The sequence below is a fragment of the Homo sapiens genome, chromosome 12 (genome assembly GCF_000001405.40).
Source record: "Homo sapiens chromosome 12, GRCh38.p14 Primary Assembly".
Classification (NCBI taxonomy): domain Eukaryota; kingdom Metazoa; phylum Chordata; class Mammalia; order Primates; family Hominidae; genus Homo; species Homo sapiens.
Window position 1 is genome coordinate 26,970,987 of NC_000012.12, and position 17,087 is coordinate 26,988,073.

The window sequence follows — 17,087 nt, forward strand, 5'->3', positions numbered from 1 at the left end:
TTACATCTGTATCATGATGAGTGTAAAGCACATTTGGATAGGGAGTCAGGCATCCCAGTTTTGGTCTGAGCACTGTTAGTTGATAACTCTCTGACTTCATATCATTAACTTAAGAATTTCCTCAGGTATTAAAGAGGTCAGTGAACATGACCTCTGAAGTCCTTTGAAGGTTTAATATTCTAGCAATTTCTTTGTTGGAATCAGTTTTCTATTTCACCTGCTACAGAAAACTCAACTGGCCTGTGGTACAATATACCTAGTATGGTTTGGCAACCTGGTAGCTAACCTATAACAGATTAATCAGAACTTTCTGAAAACATTTTAAAGAACAGTTCAACAGAGTTTCCTGTTAACTACTACTTTTCTTTAGTCTGACACACCTGAAGTGCTAATAACACCAAATTAGTCTTTTAACACATTGCCCCAGATTTCATTTCCTGTTATTATCTTTGTGATTTTTTAAAAATGAAGAACTATATTGTTTGCCCATATTAAATAACTTTTATAGCTATGAAACTCGTCATGTCTTGTTGCTGTGGTACAAATATAATCTGAAAAATTTTATGAAAATATTTAATGAGGCTTTTTAGCATTTTTTTCAAAATAGGGATTTATTATAAAAACTATACAAACTTTTTATCACTCACAAATGATGAAAAATTTTAAACAATTAGTATCCTCCCTCCAAAATAGTGTGTTCTGTCTTTACAGTCTTCACTGGCAGTGCATTCAGATAGTATAGAAAATAACAAACATTCCATATAACTTTGTCCCTACAGTAAATAATTTTTTAAAACTTTTCATCAAGTTTCAGTGTTACTGAAGTTAATTATAGACAGTAAGGATTACAGAATAAGCAGTAAATGGTCACCTGCACTGTATTTTTCAAAGCAAAAATTGTTTTATATTTTCTATGTTGTTTTATCCTGCCCCAAACACTTAAAGCAAAAGTTAAATATTTTTCCAGTTACCTGAAACTTCAAAAATCTATTGTACTTTGAAAAAACTTTAAAAAGCAGCATCATTTAAATAGTGGTTAACTCATAAACGTGTATGCAACAACATTCCACAACCCTAATACCACTCAGGCCTGCAGAGTCACCAGCTCACAATAATTCAGTGCTCTGAAAGCTGGGGGGAAAGCCCCTGAGTAGTAAGTATGCAACCCAGGGTGTCGGGTGCTTTCTTGTGGTGAAACAAGGGTGTCAAAACTGAGGGGACTCTCCAAGGTCCTAATGAAAAGCAGCTCCTCTAAACACCTGAATCCTTTTTGACTCCATTCTCATCACTTTAAGGATGAAGCCTTTCTGTACAAAGGCTTTGTACAGAAATTATTAAAAACTATATTTTACACTAATGCTAACAGCTAATTGAGCAGAAAGAACTATGAAGTACAAATTTTTCTAAGGTTTTCTTATTAATGGCAATACAGACTTTTTTTTTTTTTGAGACGGAGTCTCGCTCTGTTGCCCAGGGTGGAGTGCAGTGGCGTGATCTTGGCTCACTGCAACCTCTGCCTCCTGGGTTCAAGCGATTCTCCTGCCTCAGCCTCCCGAGTAGCTGGGATTACAGGCACCTGCCACAATACCCAGCTAATTTTTGTATTTTTAGTAGAGACAGGGTGTAGTAGTATATATTCTACTATACTATAGTAGAGACCACTATGTTGGCCAGGCTGGTCTCGAACTCCTGACCCCAGGTGATCCACCCGCCTCGACCTCCCAAAATGCTGGGATTACAGGTTTGAGCCACCGCACCTGGTCGGCAATATAGATTAAGGTGGGGGTTATTTCCTAAAAACAAAAGTAATCCATATGTCATCTAATGCAGTTAAATTAAAGATCACCTGTTGACACTATTTGAAAAGGCCTTGAAAAAAAAAAGGGGGCCATTATTTGGAATATAAATCACCCTTATAAAATTCTATTATCTATATAAATTGGCCTATTTTCAAATAATAATTTAGCTATTTCAATTACCATTTTAAGCAATAAAAGGCAAAAACAAAGGGAACCTACTGAATTGTACACTTAAACATGAATAAGAAGGTAAATTTCATGTGTATTTTATCACAACTTAAAAATTTTAAAAAATACTGAAAAAAAAACAAAGGGTAACTTTTGGATAATGTATGATACTAAGAAGGGCATGCAACTAAGTAATCAGACTGCTTTTAGTAAGAAAATAAGTTTTTTTTTTTTTTAATTTCTCGAGACAGGGTCTCTGTCACCCAAGCTGGAGTGCAGTGACACAATCAAGGCTCACTGTAGCCTCAATCTTCAGGGCTCCAGGGATCCTCCCATCTCAGTCTCCTTGGGAGCTGGGAGTAGGCATGTGCCACCATGCCTGGCTAATTTTTTAATTTTTTTGTAGAGATGGGGTCTTGTCATGTTGCCCATGTCGGTCTCAAACTCCTGGGCTCAAGCGATACTCCCACCTTGGCTTCCCAGTATTGGGATTACAGGTGTGAGCCACCATGTCTGGCTTGCTTCTCTTTTTGTATTCTAAAATTCAAAGGCCTAAGTATCAAATCCCTAAATCTCCAAATACTGTCACAGATAAAGACTCAATAATAAACTCCCTCCGAAAGTTTAGACAGGCTCAGGTGAGAGACTTGTTTCAAGGGGTTATAAAAAGAAACACCAGTGCTCTGCAGAAGAATCAGTTTTTAATTTTTTTAATGTATCTATTTAATGGAATAAGTTGATCATAGATTTGTAAACCAAAAGGTAATTTCTCAAGTATTTGGAAATAAGAAAAAGCCTCCCTACCACCAACCTTTTGGTCATCTTTCTCATTCTCTTACAATCATCCTAATCCCCTAGTACACCCTTACCATATATCAATAAGGGCACCATAATATTATGCAAAGAACAGATATATATGCCTGATCTCTTATTAGACTTGCACCAGAGACTGTTGAACCACTCCAGGCATGAACTCCAAAGCTGAGGCACACTGACCAAGCCCCTGGGCATCTACAGAAGCAAAGGCGTTCTCTCTCCAGCTGGCTGCTCCTTCTGGAAGAGCCCTTTAATCTGGGTTAATCGGCCATAGAGCCTCTCTCTCAATGGAGGAATGTGGTAGCTAGGGTCCAGAATGTTTGTCACTCGGCGCTCTCTCTCTTGCTTCCATAACTTGTATGGGTGGGGAGGGAAGAACGGTCGTCCTCTCTCTCTTCGAATCTGTAACGTAATTCCACTTACAGCCAGCATGCCCCATACTGCCAGGATAATGAAGTCTAAAAAACAGTAGAAAAAGTACAGTTTGAACTCTAGTATTTTAAAATCTAACATAATAATACAACCCTTCATGGACTAAATCTGTATATTCCTTTCTAATAGACTTTCTGGTGAGTTAGTCCAAACACATATGTAGTTCCTCAGTTACAAACCAAGGAATCAGTAGGGAAGCCACAGTCTTATTTTTGAAACTAGGAATTTTCTATTACAGGCATTTGAAAGTCCAGACAGGTTGTAAAAAAATCAGTTGTTTGGATCCTTGGCCTTCCAACATTATGTAACAAGTACCCACAGTTGTTTGTGTGTTTTTTCAGAGGGGGTTCGGGGAGGAAGGCAGTGATCTAGTTACACTTCACATATGTACATCATGGAACATCAGATTCCACCACGCTCATTTCTTTCCCATTCCACTCTACATGGGGCCCTACTGCACTCACAGTGTAGGTATAGGAATGCATGAAAAGATTCAACCAATCGTACTCAGCTTCTAGTAAAGCTTCTAGCTTGGCAAAACACTGTCTGGTACTTAAAACTTGCAAGAGTTTTAAGGTTTTCAAGGATTTCAAGGTCTCTACCATCAACCTCTTATCCAAAGGGAAAGCTCTGGATAGTAAAGGGAAAGATTTGCCCTAAAATAAAATCACAACAATCACAATTGTGCTTATGCAATATATCTTCAATTCTAGGACATGCTTTTTCACTCTCCACATGTCAACATTTCTGAAGTCAACATATCTTACAATCTGAACAATTCATGTGGTAGTCATTTTTTTCTTCAAAAAATTTATAGAAAATCTGTAATGGATAGAATCTTACAAGTGAGGGAAACTATATGCTTACTAATTAAAAACTCTTTCAACTAGCAAACTGCATGCTTCATTAAAGGAGGGAAACAAGGGAATAACTTAACATTAAATCAGGTTGTCATTCTCATCCCTTATTCCATCCCCACCCATAAGTCTCAAACATCTTTACTGTCAGTATTTTTCTCCCCTCTGAGAATGACCAGGTAAACCTAAATAATCTTGGAAATTTCTTAATGAAATTCATTTAGTAGATTTTTATCTTCATCTTAAAATTTTAAATGCTTTACTCCCATGATCCTGAGTTATCATAACAGAGGGTTCTCACAGCATTGTATGCTGTGTTCCCTCCTTTTGTCCCAGTTGACTTTCTTTAAATTTAGTTTCCAAGTGCTCTGGTTAGCATAGGTGGGTCAAGACTCCTACTGTGCTGTCACACTGGTTTTTGGATTTAAGAGTCTTACCATTAGTTTGAAAAGGCACATTTGTGAAAGCTCTGTGGAAATCCTTGTTGAGCGCTCTCTTGAGTACGTTCAAAGTGATGTAGGAAAGGCTTGTGGACCAGTAACTGTCAATGGCTAAAACCACCGAATAGGAGCCAATGACTCCACAAGTCAGTATGTTCAGCTGTGGAAGAGTGGAAGAGTTTAGGCATCATCCATGTTAGAACAAAAATAGTTTATAACTCTCCACTGGCTTCAATCACAGGCAATCACATCTGCTCCCTCAGGCATGAAAAAGGACCAGACCCACTCAGAGCTGAACAGAAGTTCCCTGGAAAGATAAACTGAAAACAACCTTCAACATCCATATGAGTTCTTAAAACACAGTTCAGCTTATCCAAATACTATGGAAAATATCTTCCATATGAAGGAACTTCAACAATAAAATCTAATTAGAGGAAGAATCACTCTTCTGAAGCCAGTTGAAACTAATGACCCATCAGGTTGGTGTACTAGAGTAAGCACTACCTTCTCTGCTCCCACTGTTAAAAGCATATTGACTGTGATGCTCCATTTGGTGGAAAAAAAAGAAAAAAACAAACACCATGTGGTAATCATAAATAGAACTTCGTTTTCACAGTAACAAGGCTATTTAGAATCAGTCATCTGATACAGGTAACACAGCCCTCCCCAGTGAATAAAACATGCAAAATGATGAAATAAGTGATCAGCTGAACACACAGGATAACATAATCAATAAATCTAACTTTTGATGAAACACTTACTATTCTTAGGCAGCCCATGAAAACTACTGGAATGAGGATAGCTATGCAAGAGAAAGTGACCCAGAATACACCATCATCATGAAAAATCTTTAGGTTTCCTGAAAAAGCAAAAAGAAACTAAGAGTAAACAACAGCTTTACCAAGTTAGAGTTGGTTTCTTGGAACATCTGAACACAGATATACATCAAAGCCTTAAAGTAACAACCAGGGAATATGTTGGCAACTAGAAATGAATTCTAATTTTCTTCATTTAACTGTCAATACAATCTTCTTTGAAGGATGTGTTCTAGAAGGTGGGTGGGAGGAACCAAGCAGGTCAACGCTCTGCACTTATTAACAAAATCATTTAGAAGACACTGGAATAGTCCAAGCTCTTCCATTCACTAGCTCTGTGAACTTGAGCCTCAGTTTCCTAACCCTCAAAATGACATTGAATTATATCTCCAAGCTCTAAATCACCTGTTAGCTCTACATTGCTGACTTCATGATTTCATACTGCAAAATAAAAAATACAAGTAAAAGGCATTCAAAGTTAAGCCATGAACCCAATGTAAACAGTGAGTCCACTTAACAGATTTTTACCGTCAAAGCATGTCCTGTCATGCCACTGCACACTGTGACATGTGATTTCCTCATGTATCAGGAAAGAGGAACCAACCAACTATCTGCTCTTCCCAAACCCTTCTCCTGCTGCTGGACTCTAAAATGCTGCACAACTTAGGCCGACCCAGAACAAATATATGAGAACTCCTCTTTATAAATTAAGTTTAAAAAGCAAGAATAGGCTGACTGCTGTTTAATACTGACACTGGCACCACCATTCAGTCCATCTGTAAATGGCCCCATACCTCAAGACCTACATATCCAGGTCAGAGTGGAAGACTGGGAGTCCCTAGGCTACAGGACTGGACCTTGAGACTCCATATTCTCTGAAGCCAACAGCAATATGCCATTGAGGTGAACTTATAGATTCTATTCTCTAGTTTAACTATATTAACCTTCACAAAATACATATGTGGCTTTCTTGTAAAAGGCTTTCAAGAAATCTAAGTATTGAAAATAGTTACGATGCATGCATGTGAAGAACGGACCCTTTCAGAGAATAAGCTCATTGCTTCCCACATAAGGTGAAAACTAGCAATCTAATCAGATTGTAGTGGTCAGCCAAATATTTTTTAAATGCTAATGCTTAAAAATATGGGTAGGCCTCTTGGCCGGGCATGGTGGCTCACGCCTGTAATCCCAACACTTTGGGAGGCCGAGGTGAACAGATCACTTGAGGTCAGGAGTTTGAGACCAGCCTGGCCAATATGGAGAAACCCCATCTCTACTAAAAATATAAAAATGAGCTGAGCATGGTAGTGTGTGCCTATAATCCCAGCTACTCAGGAGGCTGAGGCAGGAAAATCACTTGAACTCGGGAGGTGGAGGTTGCAGTGAACTGAGACTGCGCGACTGCACTCTAGCCTGGGAGACAGAGTGAGACTCCGTCTCAGGAAAAAAATAATGTGTGTGTGTGTGTGTGTGTGTGTATGTGTGTGTGTGTATACATATATAGGTAGGCCAGGTGCAGTGGCTCAAGCCTGTAATCCCAACACTTTGGGAGGCCGAGGTGGGAGGACTGCCTGAGCCCAGTTTAAGACCACCCTAGGCAACAGTGAGACTCTGTCTCTACTAAAAATAAAAGCTTACCAGGCATGGCAGCACACACCTGTAGTCCCAGCTACTTGGGAGGCTGATGTAAGAGGATGGCTTGAGCCTTAGAGTTTGAGGTTGCAGTGAGCTATGATAGTGTCACTGCAGTCCAGCATGGGTGACAGAAAGAGATCCTGTCTCTAAAAAATAAAAATATGGGTTTGCACCCACTAGCATTGAGGAGATGATCACTCTAACGGTCCTTGAGCTATGAGATAGTTCATAAACAAACATATATAAAGGGTATATGCTAAAATTATTTTTACCAATAGGAATAGTTATGTCAAAAAGTTTAGAGACAACTGCTCTAGACTACTTTATAAAGTTGAAAATTAAGAGACCTCTTTATTTCTGTTTTCTCATTCCTCACATCTATCCTATGAGATAGTTTCACAGATGATGGAACAAAGTTTCAATACATCGTCCAAGGTTATAAGCTAGAAAGGGAACTAGTGACAGAGCCAGAATGCATATAGAAGGTTTTTTCCTGACTTTATAATTTATGCTCATTCTCCTCATGAAAAGTACATTAAATTACTAGAAATTATAACCTATCATCCCTCCATCCTCTAAGCATTAACAAAAGAGGGGAAGCCCATTAAGTAGTAGTTGGTTTTTGTGGTCTTTTTGTTTTGTTTTTGAGACAGGGTCTTGTTCAGTCGCCCAGGCTGGAGTGCAATGGCACCATCATAGCTCACTGCAGCCTCAACCTCCCGGGTTCAAGCAATCCTCTAGCCTCAGCCTCCCAGAGTAGCTGAGACCACAGGTGTGCACTACAACACCTGGCTAATTTTTTTTTTTTTTTTTTCAGTAGAGATGGGGAATCACTATGTTGCCCAGGCTGGTCTCAAACTTGAGCTCAAGCAATCCTCCCACTTGGTCTCCCAAAGTGCTGGGATTATAGGCATGAGCCACCATGCTCAGCCATTAGGAAGTATTTTATTTAGCACATGTAGGGTAGAGCCTTGAATCTGTATTTCAAAAACATCCCCATGTGAATCTGTCATTTCGCCAAGCCTACACAACACTGCTTTTCATCAGACTATCCAGTAGTCTTAGAAAAAAAAAGTCTTCAGAGAGACAAGGGACACATGACTTGTACTCTATTATATCCTGCATTCTCTATAGAGTTGACAGCCTCATGAAATGGCTATTTTTATGTCTAACAGTCCCATCAACTTTATTCTAGTATTTTAAGAACATTGTCACAGAAAGGAAACAACCAAATAGAATACTTTTGAGTACAGATGCTGTTTTTGTTTGTTTTTGACAATAATCAGGAAATGTAAGTTATTAAACAATGGCAAAGAAAGTTAACTTATAAGTTAACCAGATTTTAAAAACTGATAGCAATTGAATTACTTTTTAAAAACACCAAAAAAACCCCAGAACCAGCCCTGTGCTACTGCCCCAGGGTGATTAAGTACCTGAGGGACACCTGGGGTTTGGCAGCGGATGGGAGTGGAGGTTGAGGGTACAACAGAAGACCAGAAACAAAGTACCAGGTTCCCCGACTCAGCTGCCATCAGAGCCTTTACCTCCTTATTTCCTTTACCTCCATTATTTCTAATAAACACATACCACTTATCACAACAAATAGATACAAAGCTACCTCTAAAGACATTCTATATTTCATCTACTGTGCCTTTGAGGAAGGAGGGACTTTTACTAGTCCTGGTGCTGTCTGAAAGTGTCACACCATCAATGCAGATTTCCAGAACTCCACAGGAGAAGCACTGACATGCAACACCACTCCAGGATGCAAATCCAATTAGGCAGTATTCAAACAGTCACTCGAACACACAAAACATCTGTTACATATCGCCTACCCAGTGGAGTAAAGAAAGTCACTGACGAGATGAGGAACCCCAGCACTAGTCCAACACAGAGCATGCAGATCGAGAGGATTCCAAATCGCCACCACACAGCTACCAAGAACATTCCACCGACGCTTCCAGTGACAGCTGTCAGAATCAGATTCACTGTACAAAGAGAGAGGATGAACTGCTGGATAACCGGCAGTACTTCCAACCGCGTGCCTTAGACATACAATACCGTTACCAGTGCCAGCTTCAGCTTTCTGTAGGTCAGGCACTGAGGGCTCTTCAGTGGTGCCATGAAGCCAGCATAGAGCAACCCTCTCTAGGGAGGGGTCTGGGCTGAGACAAGGAAATTAGCTAGGGAGCTAAACCTCACAGGGCCAGTGACAGGCTTGGCTTGTCAATAAATTGGGATTGAGAAGGAAAAGTTGACAAGCATTCTGTTAAACATAATGGGGTAGGGAGGTATCTGTTTTCAGGTAAAGAAAACCTCAACATTTTGCTTGTTGTACATCTCATATCTTCAACATATCACATAGCCAGAACACAGGTCTATAATCAATATGGCCCCTCCTTTCCCTAAGTACCAAGGAATTCACCATACAGATTAAAAACCCAGAAGGTCTGAATGAGTAGTTCAGAAAAGGTGTTCAGAGACTAGATGGACCATTATTTTACATAAGTAATAGGCTGTCACACACAATATAGGCCAAACTGTAGAAGGAAAGGTGAAGTAAAACACAGCACCTGCCTTCTTGAATACCCAGTTAAACTATATAATTTTCACTTACCATCATACTTGATAGGTGTCAGTCTTGTAATCAGTATATAAAAGAAGAATCCCATGATGATAAAGCCTATGAAGAATAATTCTAAGTGGCAAACCACCAGGAAAGGAAAAAAGCAAAACAACAAAAGCTATGGTTAAGCACCCTTTTTACAGTGCAATTTAAATATTTAATCTACAAATACATGCTTAAGCTCCTGGAATTTACATGTTACAGCATTCAGAAGAAAAAAAAAATCTAAAAGGCAGAAGAAATTCAGCAGCCATGGGAGTAATTATTATTAAACAGATACAATATTAAAGTACCAACTACAGGATACACTTTCTTGTATATAGGTCAGTTTCCATTGTTAAATTGTTATTTGTTCATTTCATAGCTCATTTTAATATATTTATGTTTTCTGCTTAAAATAAGAATAGCACTTTGTCACGTGTATGTGATACGAAATTACACATTAAATTTTAATAGTTTTGTAAGCAGAAATAAAATGTAAAAGGTAAAAGAAACCCAAACTGTCCCAAAGCAAAATATAACTTTTATATCTTCTTTTAATTCATCCTATCCTGTTTAGAATGATCAATCATTACCTTCATCCATTAAAACACCTGGTAATGCAAGTATACAGATAACTTTGTTCCCACAAATAAGCCTAATCCTGATCATGGAGGCCATAGCTCTACCTATTTTCTTAAATTCTTCACAGCTGTTCTTGGTAATACTTGTACTGTATCTCAATTTCAATAAATATAAAATGATACATATCAACACACCAAAAAAACCCAGAGTGAGGCATGGTGGCTTGTGCCTGTAGTCTCAGCTACTTGGGAGGCTGAGGTGGGAGGATCACTTGAGGCTAGGAATGTGAGGCTGTAGTGCACTATAATTGTACCTGTGAACAGCCACTACACTGCACTCCAGCCTAGGAGACACAGTGAGACTCCATCTCTTTAAAAAGAAAAAAAAAAAGCTAGTGATAACTTTGAGACCACAGCTTAGCAACTAAGTTCTTTGTTACAGAATCATTCTACATGTTGAGATATTATATATTCTTTACAATACTCTCTTCCCAATTAATAAAAAAAGTGTCATAATAGCAGGAAAGGAGTTGCTATTTCAAACAATTTAACATAAGTTTAAAGAGCTTTATTAGATCAGGATTACATTTGAGCTACCTTGATGCTCAGTTATACAACTTGTTGATTAAATAAGGATTTTTTAATAATCGAAAACATCACTTATATAAAAAGCAGCCCAAATAATTCAAACCAATTCAGTGAGCATGATTTACATCCCAGTTCTTCAGTGTGTTTCACTGATGTTGATGCTGGCATTCCCTTTGGCATCTGAATCTCTCAGGACTGAGCAGACATTTCAAACTCACTGTACACTGCAGCCCCATAGCCTGATTCATGTGAAACCAAGTCAATCGCCATCACCAATATCCACACATATTTTTACAAAGACAACCAACTTCTTTTTTTTTTTTCTTGAGACAGGATCTTACTCTGTCATCCAGGCTGGAGTGCAGTGGCACAATCTTGGCTCACTGCAACCTCTGCCTCCCGGGCTCAAGCAATCCTCCCACCTCAGCCTCCCCATGTAGCTGGGACTACAGGCACACACCATCAAGCCTGGCTAATTTTTTGTATTTTTTGGAGAAACAGGGTCTCACCGAGTTACCCAGGTTGGTCTCAAACTCCTGAGCTCAAGCAGTCTGCCTGCCTCAGCCTCCCAAAGTGCTGGGATTACAGGTGTGAGCCACCACACACAGCCCCAATTTGTCTTTAATTTTTTGGTAGAGAAGGGATCTCACTATGTTGCCTAGACTTGTTTCAAACTCCTGGCCTCACACAGTCCTCTCACCTCAGCTTCCCAAAGTGCTGGGATTACAGGCATGAGCCACTGAGCCCGGCCCTGACAACCAATGTCTAATCTCGGTTATCTTTAGTCAACTAACAGATCTAGCAGCTGATAAAATTCACTGCATAATTGTATTCCCCTGTTAATAAGAGAAGGTTATACTCCGCTGTAGGGAGAATAGAAAAAAATAAAAATGCATTGCAACTCAGTAGACTCACGACTACAAGACCCCAGCTACAAATCTATGAAGATAGTAGAGATAAGTAAGTGCTTACTCTCCTCACAGGTCATTCCCCAGCAACACTGAAAAGACTGCAAAATGGAAATAGCAACTACATTGGACATAATACCTGTTTTCCAGAATCTGTGTCCAAAGAAACAAATGAAGAAACCAAGCAGGGCAAAAAGAGTGAAGAACACTTTGGAAGACACTCTTCCTAAAAAATAATGAAAATTTAGTGGATAATACATCCAATTTGATACTTTGTATTAATATTTATAGAACGAACCTTCATCAAAAAAGCTAAGTGAACTGACATAATTTATCCCATACATGTATATTACAAATTTATCTTTAAAATACTCTTGCCACCCCTAATGAATGAACCTATGTAGACAATCAATATCAACAACTGCTGCTATAACAAAAAGAGAATCCAGACAATATATGCTTGCTGATAGCGGTATGGAACACTTCCTATGACATATTCCTGGGTAAAGTGGAGAGAAACAGAGAGAGAGTGTTCCTAAAACAAATAATCCTGTTTCTTCAACAAATAAACTGCATGGACAAAAGGTGGCAGGGAGTGGGGGGGAGGTGGTGGGGGTGGGTGGAGGGAGAATACAGGTTAAAAGAGATTTAAAAGACACATCAACTAAATACTGTGTATAGATCTCATCTGCAACCTGATTCAAACAAACTGTGGAAAACAATTGAGATGACTCCAGAAGCAAACTCTGGCTGTTAATTTGATGCTATTAAAGAAATATTTTCAATATTTTAAAATGAAAATTATGTTAATGACACGGTGGTTCTATTTTTTAAGTGCTTATCTTTAAGGTATACATACTGAAATATTTGTGAGTAACATGATGACCAGGGATTTGCTTTAAAATAATCCAGTGATAAAGGAGGGTGATGAGGTGGAGAGGCAGAGAAGCAGGTACAGCACAGCTGAAACAAGATAATGGCCATAAATCAAAATTGTTAAGGCTGGATAATTGGTGTATGGAGGCTCGCTGAAGTTTTTCACAATAAAAAATTTAAACCGAAACTCACAATTTAAAAACATGTATTACACTTATAAGTTATTTATTATAATATTTATTACACATACACAAATTACTACCAGTCTTATCAATTATACATATTGCCTTGGAGAAAAATGTTGCATTACAACCAATGATGAAGCACGGTATCATTTAGTTTACTGAAGAGAAAAATATGCTCACTAAATTCATCACCCACCATCATGAGATAAACCCAAGAAAATAATCCCTGAACTAAAACCCAAAACAAGACATCTATACAATCTCATGCTAAAATAAAACAAGGCTGCCACAAATCAAAATACATAAAATGCCTAAGAGTGCTCAGAATGGAGAAACCATGAAGACATACAGTAAAATAAGAAACACAGACAGAAGAGCAGAATTCACAGGGGATATAATACCTAAATATCAGCTTTTCTGAGAATAAGGAGCCCATAAGAAAGATTAAACAACAGCCGGGTGCAGTGGCTCACGCCTATAATCCCAGCACTTTGGGAGGCCGAGGTGGGCGGATCACTTGAGGTCAGGAGTTTGAGATGAGCCTGGCCAACATGGTGAGAACCCCGTCTACTAAAAATACAAAAATTAGCCAGGCCTGGTGGCACATGCCTGTAGTCCCAGCTACTCCAGAGGCTGAGGCAGGAGAATTGCTTGAACCCAGGAAGCAGAGGTTGCAGTGAGCCAAGGATCAGGCCATTGCACTCCAGCCTGGATGTCGCAGCCAGACTCCATCTCAAAAACAAAAAACGAAAAACAAAAAAAAAAAACCCAGAAAGATTAAACGAAAGATAAAAACACCACATTGTTTATTTCAGACCTGTGGTTGACTATCATTCTAGAATTTAATTTTTACACCAAAACCATTAAATTTGCTGGGATGATTTTCTCAAATGAAAATCCCGTGAACTTTTCAGCAAGTATAATCACCAAGACAGCAAGGTCTTCCAACCCAATAAAAACTAAGACACAGTTAGATACTCTTCCATAACATTAGAGGGGAACTAAATCCCCTATCACAATACCAGGAAGGAGGGAGAGAAACAATTATACAAGTAAAATGAGAGGGTATGGAAGGTTCCATCAAAAGCAGAATCTACGATAAAACAAGACATAAAACAGGCATTCACTCTGGGGGAATGAAAGGAGTGAATAGACTAGGACAGGAGCAAGTTGAAGGTTAAAGTGTCTTTAACTATGACAGTATTGCTAAGGGTTATGAACCACAGGGCAAGGTTTTAGTTAGGAGGCAATATGGATATAGTCTCCCTACTCCAAGCTCAGGAAAAGCACTCTAATACTCATCAATCTTGAAAATGAGAGTAACAATAGAACTAACATCACTAGGAAGGTTCAACTTTGGGCGGGAAGAACAACTGGATCAGAGCTCTCTGTCTCCTAAGCCTAACAGAGAGAGACAGGCCTGGGGGCCTTTCTATTTAGAAGGGGCTTTTGCATGAAGGGTTCAAGGGAAAGAAATGGAGGAACCCAGACATACTTCAGTCCATCGGTTAAAAATATATGGCCAGGCGCAGTGGCTCACGCCTGTAATCCCAGCACTTTGGGAGGCTGAGGCGGGTGGATCACTTGAGGCCAGGAGTTCAAGACCAGCCTGGCCAATATGGTGAAACCCCATCTCAACTAAAAATACAAAAATTAGTCAGGCAAGGTGGCGCACACCTGTAGGACTTTGGGAGGCCGAGGCGGGCATATCACCTGAGGTCAGGAGTTCAAGACCAACCTGGCCAACATGGTTGGTCAGGTCTCTACTAAAAATACAAAAATTAGCAGGGTGTGGTGGTACACGCCTATAATCCCAGATACTCTGGAGGCTGAGGTACGTGAATTACTTGAACCTGAGAGGCAGTGGTTGCAGTGAGCTGAGATCATGCCACTGCACTCCAGCCTGGGTGACAAGAGTGAGACTGTCAAAAAAAAAAAAAAAAAAAAAAAAAAAAAAAATATATATATATATATATATATATATACACACACACAAACATATCTGCCAAGGTCTCTTGCATTGTATCCCTCAAGGATCTTGAGTGGAAGATTGTCTTGAGTGGAAGACTGAGTGGTGACAAAGAGCCTTTGCTTGGCCAAATTTCTTTTTCGTTTTTTTTTTTTTTTTTTTTTTTTTGAGACAGAGTCTCGCTCTGCCGCCCAGGCTAGAGTGCAGTGGCGCGATCTTGGCTCACTGCCAGCTCCGCCTCCCGGGTTCACACCATTCTCCTGCCTCTGCCTCAGCCTCCCTAGTAGCTGGGACTACAGGCGCCCACCACCATGCCCGGCTAATGTTTTGTATTGTTTTTTTTTTTAGTAGAGACGGGGTTTCACTGTGTTAGCCAGGATGGTCTCGATCTCCTGACCTCGTGATCCGCCCGCCTTGGCCTCCCAAAGTGCTGGGATTACAGGCGTGAGCCACCGCACCCGGCCTGCTTGGCCAAATTTCAGTCTCCTGAACCCCCTCCTAGGCCCATCTGCGCACATCTTTGTAAAATCCAGCTTCAGCAAGAACTCTGATAAGTCAGCTTAGCAAGAATCCCCTATGCTTGATATCAAATCACCCTCGATATCTAATCGAGTTCTTCATCCTCCACCATCCATCCCCCAGGTGATGTCTGACCACCCTGGTCTGTCTTCAGTAAGAATCCCCTTAGGTCAGTGCAGACAGAATGCCCCCTTGCCCCTCATGTTTCCTCTTAGAAATTTTCCATCCACTGACTCCCACCCTACTGCTTGGCTACAAATTCCCAGTAGCCCATGTTGTACTCAAGAGTTGGGCCCAATCTCTCTTCCCCACTGCAAAATTCCATCACAGTGGTCCCTATGCCTATTGTAATACTACCCCCCACCTTGAATAAAATCTTCCTCACTGTGCTTTAACTAGTGTCACTGATTTTTTTTTTCTTTAACAGCGGGATACGGCTCTAGCAGAGGTAGAGAACCATAATCTCTCGCTTGAACACAACTAATAGACTTTCTTCTTTAGAGCAAAGCTCCTTGAAAGAGCTACTTGAACTTTCTCCAGTTTCTGTGCTCCCAGCTCCTATTTGTTCTTGAATATGCTCCAGTCAGGCGCCTACCCCACCTCTCCACTGCAACAGCTCTCACTGGTACCAATGGCCTCCATGTTGCTAAATCCAAGGGTCATTTTCAGTCTCTTTCTTAGCTGACCTATCAGCAGCATCTGCCAAAGTTGATTACTCTCTCTTCCATGCAATACTGTCTCCCCTTGGCTTCAACATACATCACTTTCCTTTTACCAATCTGGCTGCAGCTTCTCAGCCCATTGGTAGGATCTTCAATTTCCTAAGCTCTAAACATTGGAGCACCCAGGGCTCAGTCCTCAGACCCCTCCCTTTTCTCTAAGTCACACTGAGTGTGCCTGCCTCTCCCACCTCCCCTTCCACCTCTGCCTCCCCTTTATAGATAACACCATTTAGCATGAGGCCTTAAATGCCATATATTCAGTCTGAAGATTTCCAAGATGCTCTCCAGCTAAGACTTTCCTCTGAATTCCAGGCTTATATATATAATCAACCATCAGTTAAACATCTGCACATAAATGCTCAATAGGGTTCTCAAACTGAACTTGTCCAAAACTGAACTCTTAATGTATCCTCCCAACCTTCTCCTCCAACAGTGCTTCCCACCTCAGCGAATGGTCGCTCTCTCTCTCCAGTTGCTCAGGCCAAAAACTACAAAGTCCTTTACACCTCTTTCTCTCAAACCCCTCATCCAATCCATCAGTACACTGTACTCCAAACATATCCAGCCACTCATGAGCCAAATCTGGAACAATTTGAACATGAAAATAAATGATAGTAAAGGATTTCATCCAGAGAATAAAATAGGAATCTACAGGTCCAGGTTTAAAATAAATACATGGATAAATAAATGGCAGGGGAGGGAAAACCCTTCCTCAGAGCAGGATGGCAACAAATAAACATAGAAGGAGTGATACATTAGAGAAACACCATTTGGCAACCACCTAGTAATAAATGTTTCAGGCAAAGATCACTGGATGCCAAAACTAGCAAGTGAGAGTTTGAGAATGGGATATTTACTGACACTCGAAGTACCTCCCCTAAAGACACTTAAAAAAAGGAACAGTTACTTCAGTGGAGAAACTTGGCAAGACACCAATAACCAAGTCATCAAGGATGTCACCACCAGTAAAGAGACAAATAAATAAAGAGACAAGTGTCTCCTGAGAAGGACACATCACTTCCTTTGTATTCCTGCCAAAAAAGCATAATCAAAATTTAATTATGAGGAAATATCAAAGTAACCCAAATTGAAGACATTCTAAAAAAAATAAATATTCTGTACTTCTCAAAAAAGTCAAGGTCTTAAAAGATTAAAATTAAAAAAAAAAA

General features: G+C 39.9%; 1 protein-coding gene across 12 annotated transcripts in view, besides 1 other annotated feature; it reads right to left on the bottom strand.

Moving 5' to 3' along the window:
* Window positions 1–592: 592 nt before the first annotated feature.
* The window catches only part of TM7SF3 (transmembrane 7 superfamily member 3), a 42,806-nt gene continuing 26,311 nt past the window's right edge, over window positions 593–17,087 (bottom strand). For 2 of the 12 annotated variants that reach the window (NM_016551.3, XM_017019463.3), the window contains exons 7-12: window positions 11,787–11,873; window positions 9,580–9,660; window positions 8,798–8,950; window positions 5,274–5,371; window positions 4,510–4,672; window positions 593–3,241 (exon numbers count right to left, since the gene is read on the bottom strand). In NM_016551.3, coding sequence (NP_057635.1) covers window positions 2,979–3,241; window positions 4,510–4,672; window positions 5,274–5,371; window positions 8,798–8,950; window positions 9,580–9,660; window positions 11,787–11,873 — 845 coding nt within the window. In that variant the 3' untranslated portion in view covers window positions 593–2,978. Of the gene's footprint in view, window positions 3,242–4,509; window positions 4,673–5,273; window positions 5,372–8,797; window positions 8,951–9,579; window positions 9,661–11,786; window positions 11,874–12,506; window positions 12,611–17,087 lie in introns of those variants that run through there. The other 10 variants (XM_005253391.5, XM_047428990.1, XM_047428997.1 and 7 more) reach the window with 8 other exon arrangements.
* Window positions 1,031–1,090: a silencer, noted in NCBI's record as "silent region_4307". NCBI's record gives its function as "represses an Ori minimal core promoter by ATAC-STARR-seq in GM12878 lymphoblastoid cells {active_cell/tissue: GM12878}" and the evidence as "EXISTENCE:reporter gene assay evidence [ECO:0000049][PMID:35858748]".